A 6,235-nucleotide genomic window follows, 5' to 3' on the forward strand; every position below is an offset into this window, starting at 1 on the left:
CTGCTATTTTAAAACTGCTATTTTAAAACGAACAAAAAAAAGAGCACATTAACTCCTAATCTTCACAATAACCTATGAGGAAGGTATAATTACCCATGTTTTTCACTTGAGGGAACTGAAATGCAGAAGTTAGTTAACTCATTCAAGGTCACTCAGCTAGTAAGTGACCAAGTCTACTTCCTCCAAGAGCCCTCAATCGATATGTTATACTGTCTCTCGGTGTATTCCAACATATAGCTGCCTCTACTAAAGGAAAAATAAAAAATGTGCTAGTCCCACGATTCTCAATCTCTTTTGACTCACACTACTTTCATGGTAATAAATAATTTCATAGACCTCCACCAGAATTTTCCTCTTATTTTTTATATGATAAAACAATGATTTTTAGTAAGATTTTATTTTTATTTTATTTTTGAGACAGCATCTGGCTCTGTTGCCTAGGCTGGAGTGCAGTAGTGTGATGTCAGCTTACTGCAACCTCCATCTCCCGGGCTCCAGCCATCTTCCCACCTCGCTCTCCCAAGTAACTGGGACTATAGGCATGCACCACCATGCGCAGCTAATTTTTTTATTTTTTGTAGAGACGGGCTTTTGCCATGTTGCCCAGGCTGGTCTGGATCCTAAGCCCAAGCAATCTGCCCGCCTCAGCCTCCCAAAGTGTTGGGATTACAGGCGTAAGCCACCGTGACGACCATTAGAGTTCATTAAAGCACATTTAAATACAAACTTTAATTATTATGTAAACAAAATTCTTTTTGCATTCAAACACTAAAGTTATTTACGTAGGAAAAAAATTGCTTATAAAAATAAAAAAATTATGCATAGTTTCATTAAATGAACATTGAAACATGGACTAAAATTTAGCTATGTGTTTTAGCATGAAGATTCTAGAAATACCACCAGCCTACCAACATTGCTGCCAGGATTATCCAACCCTGCTATGCTGACATGTATAGAAAACTAACAGCAGCAGAACACTAAAGCAGCTGCTCAGATCTGAACTAGAATGAAATGGGAATTAAACAACCATATCTTGTATACAGACACCAAAATGACAACTGCAAGCTATGCAGTACAATCTTGATGGCATTGTCCACATACAGCAGGAGCTCAATCAATATCTGTTGAATGAGTAAATGCCAGTGTAGAAAACATCTCTGTAAGAAATCATCTGAGATGATGCCTTTCAGGAAAGGGCATTATAAGAAGACACCAACTGATGAAAAGGAACAGGCTATATAACAAAAAGTCACACACACAAAAAATGAAGACAGGCTACGTGAACTTGAGAATAAATTCTATTTTCAGAAAGTAGTTCCAACAGTGATAAATTCAAGACTCAAAATTTTACCTCTCTTATATTGGGACAATCCTGAAGCAGATGGCAAACTAAATAAAAGTCCCAGCGCTCTTTTAATTAGCCTTAGTTTTATTAAGAAAAATACCACACAAATAATTTGGAAAACTGTTTGACAGTATTTTCTAAAACTACATGTATTTATAAACTATGACCCAGCAAATCCCCTCTAGGGTGCTTATATCCACCAAAAGACAAATACAAGAATGTTCACAGCAGGTTTATTCATCATAGCCCCAAACCGCCAACAATACAAAAGTATTATCAATAAGAGAATGGACACAAAAATTGAGACATCCACACAATGGAATTCTGGTCAGCAATGAAAAAGAACTGCTGCTACTCACAATATGGATCTCATATAATGACAGCAAAAGAAGCCAAACTTAAATAATGCATACGGTATAATCATTTATATGAAATTCCAAAACTATCTACAGTGTAAGAGGTCAGAACAGTGGCTACTTTTCAGAGGTCATCTACTGAAAGGAAGGCCTCTGCGAGGCTGGAAATGTTCTTTTTTTTTTTTTTTTTTTTGAGACAGAGTCTCCCTCTGTGGCCCAGGCTGCAGTGCAGTGGTGTGATCTTGGCTCACTGCAACCTCCGCCTCCCGGGTTCAAGCCATTCTCGTGCCTCAGCCTCCCAGAATGTTCTGTATCTTGATCCAAACAGTGGTTTCACAGGTGTACACTTGAGTAAAAATTCAGGAAGATGCACACTTAAGATTTTTGGACTTGATGCACATTATACCTCAGTAAAAATGTTAAACAGAAAAATGCAAAGAAAATAATAAACAGAGAAATCAGACAGTGGTTACCTCTGGGAGTAGAGGGGAGAAAAGAACATGGGATTAGAAAGGAGCATACCAGTAGCTTCAATAATATTGGAAAAATTCTCTTTAAGTTAGATGGTAGGCTCATGTATTCATTTTATTACTATGCTTTAGAACATACATCTCTACATATTCTTTGGTATGAATCAAATATTACGTAATAAACACTTGTTTAAAAACTAAAGAGGAATATATATTCCAAATTCATCAGTTGGTTATCACATCCCCCAACATACATACCCCTAACCACATCAACCCTTAAAGTAGATCACAGTGCAGAATAGGGCTGGCCAACAGGTTCTCTTTCACAGGCTGACACGACAGTGGCTGCTTGAAACACTGGTAAAGGGTTGTAAGGCAGAGCACTGATGGTGATTCTCCAAGTATGTTGTGTATCACATGTGGGAGATGGGAGGACACATATCTGCTATCCCAGTCTAGAAGGGTAAAGAAGCCCAACTTCCTAGGATCAAGATAGGCCTATGTTTATCGTCACACAGCCCCAGTCCTAAGACTAGACACAAAGGCATTCTCTTTTAGCACATTTCTACAGGTCCTTCAGTTTATGACAAAGACATCTGCACAGTCATTCTTTTCTGGGAGTATCTTAGAATTCTGACTGTTTAGGGGTTAGAGAAGGTGGCGTAGAGAGGAGCAGTATGACTATAAAGGGATGGCACAAAGGGAATCTTTGTGGTGGTGCCATATATCTGTATCTTAATTGCGGCTGGGTTATCCAAACCTACACATGGGATAAAATAACACAGAACCATACACACACTGTACCAATGTCAATTTCCTAGTTTTGATACTGTATACTACAGCTAAGAAAGATGTAACCACCAGAGGAAACTGGATGAAGAGCACACTGGATAAATAAATAGTAATAAGTAAACAGTAATTTTTGTAAAAAGAAAGAAAAAAGAATAAAATCCTGGCTGTTTTAGCCACCATTTGCTGAAAGAGGATTGCAGAAAAAAAAATTATCTCATTAACTAAAGAGCTATGTCATTAAATGTTTATTCCACATAAAATCATGAATAAGAGAAAAACACAGGCCATAACTCTACATTATTTTTCACTTAACCCATGATTATCAGCTAACTCCCAGAAAATTTTACTCAAATATTAAGAAGCAAATGACTAGATTAACTTACCACATCAAGTTTTGCCCATGCCTCATAATCATAAGATTTTATCCTGTTTTTTGTGTTTTCCTCTCTGGTTTTTTTGGAAGACTCTTTAGCTTTGCCTTTCTTCTTTTTCCTAAAATTCCCATTTCGAATAGGAGGTAAATTCTAAGGAGGGAAAAAAAAACACAAAGTTGTGAGTATTATGCTCTGTTACTCTTTGTATAACTAGCTATGTTTAAAATTCTCACTATATTTTCTTCTAAGAATTTTTTAATTTTAAAGTGTTTAAAAAGACCAATTTACCACCTTCACTTATAACAATTATACTTTAAAAGTTTAATTCATACTTTGATGAGTGTTGAACATTGTTCAATCACAAGAAAAAAGTATTACCTAGAAATTCTAATTATACCTTTAATTTGCAATCCTAAATTCAAACTTCAAAAACGACCTATCTTCAGCCTTAGTACGATGAACCAGCAGTAGTGCAAAGACAAACTGAACTGCCTCCATATTATGTACAGTATGAAAAACCCAGCCATATTTAAATGCAGTCTTAAGAAAAACTTTTGGTTGAACCTAGGTACTATCTGCATTTTTATGCCAATATGGTATGTTAATATATCATTAGTATATAACTACACATATTATTTTTATACACACACACCTCTACATATTTTATGATGCTAGTCATTTATTTACCTCTAAGTATTATCACATGATCATCCCTTCAGTAACTACTCACTAAGCCTTAAAATATGGTAATATATTTAATTATTACAAAGACTTTTTGAAAAGCAGAATTTCTAAAAACACTGACAGTGGGCCGGGCACGGTGGCTCATGCCTGTAATCCCAGCACTTCGGGAGGCCGAGGTGGGTGGATCACTTGAGGTCAACAGATCAAGACCATCCTGGCCAACATGATGAGACCCCGTCTCTACTAAAAAAAAAAAAATACAAAAAGTAGCTGGGCGTGGTGGTGCACGCCTGTAGTCCCAGTTACTCAGGAGGCTAAGGCAGGAGAACTGCTTGAACCCAGGAGGCGGAGGTTGCAGTGAGCCGAGATCGCGCCACTGCACTCCAGCCTGGTGACAGAGCAAGACTCCATCACAAAAAAAAAGAAAAGAAAATTGACAGTGAAGCAAGTCACTTCAATTTCAGTATTTTCACAAAACATTTTTAAAAGTTATGCTTTATTTTTATAAAATTAGTTTTGGTGGATCTTAATTACGAATTCTTAATTTACCTCTTCAGGAACACCATTCTGTCTTCTTAGTTCCATATCCTTTTGTTTAATGTCTTTTTCCCAGTTTTCTAAATCCCGCATAAAGTCTTGTAATTCTTCTGCATTTTGTTTCACTTGTAGTTGTAATTCGATTGCTTTATTTGCTGAAGTCATTATGGTCTGCAGAGTTTTGAACAACCAACCTCTGATAAGAATAGGCCTATTTGGTTTATTTTTCTGAAAGCTAGCTAATTATCTTTTACCACTTCATAAGTGGCCAAGATACATGGACAGAAGACAGCCAACTGATGCTGAATAAAGAAAAATCAATATAATATTTTAAAAATAAATCAGTTGCTGAATAAACAAATGAAAAATAGACAAGTTGAAGCATCCTTGAAAGGCAACATTAAAGAAAGGTAATGGGGAGAAAAATCACTGAAATTATCAGGTAGCCTGTGGTAGCAGACAGGCTGCTCATCTCTGGAGTTGAGCGATTACCTCCTTTATTTCTTTTTCTTCCAACATTTAACTTCTACTATGTGAAAGGCCCTGAATCAAGATTTAGGGATGCAAAAACAAGACAAGGTCCCTTGTGCAGTGGAGAAGAAAAAAATATATAAAGCACTAGTAACAAAATATGTTAAGCAGGGTTTCTCAACCTTGGGACTACTGACATTTTGGGCCAAAAAATTTATTTTAAGAGTGCTGTCCTGTGCATTGTAGGAGGGTTGGCAACATTTCTGTCCTCTACCAACTAGGTGCCAGGATTATCCCTTCCTCTCATGGATTGTGACAACGAAGAATCCCAGACACTGCCAAATGTTCCCTGAGAGGTAAAATAACCCCTGGTTGAGAACCCTGCGTCAGAGGTACATACAGATGCTATGGAACTGACTGCAAAAAATAGGCATGGATCAGATAGTAGGGTGGTGGTGTCACGGAAGGAGTCCCCAGAGGTGTTGGAACTTTAGCTGGATTTCAAAGGGGCCCGCCAAGTGACTAACAGGGAGGAGTGGGCAGGCAGAGTGAGGAATTATGAGGGAGAATGAAGGAAAAGAAAATTAAAGAGGTGGACATGGGACAGACTTGAAATGGCAGGCCATGAGGTCTAACCTATATTCTGAAAGTTATGTGAAAATATCAAGGTAGTAAAATAAAAAGAACTTGATGACTGACTAGACTGAGGTGTTGGAGAACAGAGAAAGACTCAAACAGTGGCCTAGATTTCTGGCTTGGGACCCCGGTAAGATTACTGATGCCATTTTGAGTCAAGAAATACAATGTTAAAAGGAAAAGAGGCATCAAAGTTGGAGGGCAAACGGAAAGTCAGATTATTTGTTTGGGATATGCTGAATTTGAGTGCTAATGGGGCGAAGAGATACCCCATAGGTAGCTATGTAGGAATAGAGATAAATTCCGGTGTCACTAGCAGAAAGGTAGAAGCTAGAATCAAGGATGTGGCCATGTTTAACCATTGTGACAACTGGGGAATGGGGTGAACCTGGAGAACACTAAACGGAGAAAGAGATGCCAAGGAAGAAAAAAGTAGGCAGTAGCACCTAGACAGTTGGGAGAAAAACCTAGAGTGTACTGTTACAGATGACAAAAAATGAGTTGAAGAAAGTGAGAGGTTAGCAGTGCCAAATGCCACAGAGGGAAAGAAAGTGCATTATATTTAGTCAT

At 37.7% G+C, this 6,235-nt stretch overlaps 1 protein-coding gene across 3 annotated transcripts in view; it reads right to left on the reverse strand.

Annotated features, from left to right (window-relative positions):
* Window positions 1–6,235, reverse strand: part of RPAP3 (RNA polymerase II associated protein 3) — a 44,782-nt gene that overhangs the window by 36,869 nt on the left and 1,678 nt on the right. For 2 of the 3 annotated variants that reach the window (NM_001146075.2, NM_024604.3), the window contains exons 2-3: window positions 4,571–4,729; window positions 3,347–3,487 (exon numbers count right to left, since the gene is read on the reverse strand). In NM_001146075.2, coding sequence (NP_001139547.1) covers window positions 3,347–3,487; window positions 4,571–4,723 — 294 coding nt within the window. In that variant the 5' untranslated portion in view covers window positions 4,724–4,729. The remainder of the gene's footprint in view (window positions 1–3,346; window positions 3,488–4,570; window positions 4,730–6,235) is intronic. The other variant, NM_001146076.2, reaches the window with a different exon arrangement.

The sequence above is a fragment of the Homo sapiens genome, chromosome 12, assembly GCF_000001405.40.
Source record: "Homo sapiens chromosome 12, GRCh38.p14 Primary Assembly".
NCBI lineage: Eukaryota > Metazoa > Chordata > Mammalia > Primates > Hominidae > Homo > Homo sapiens.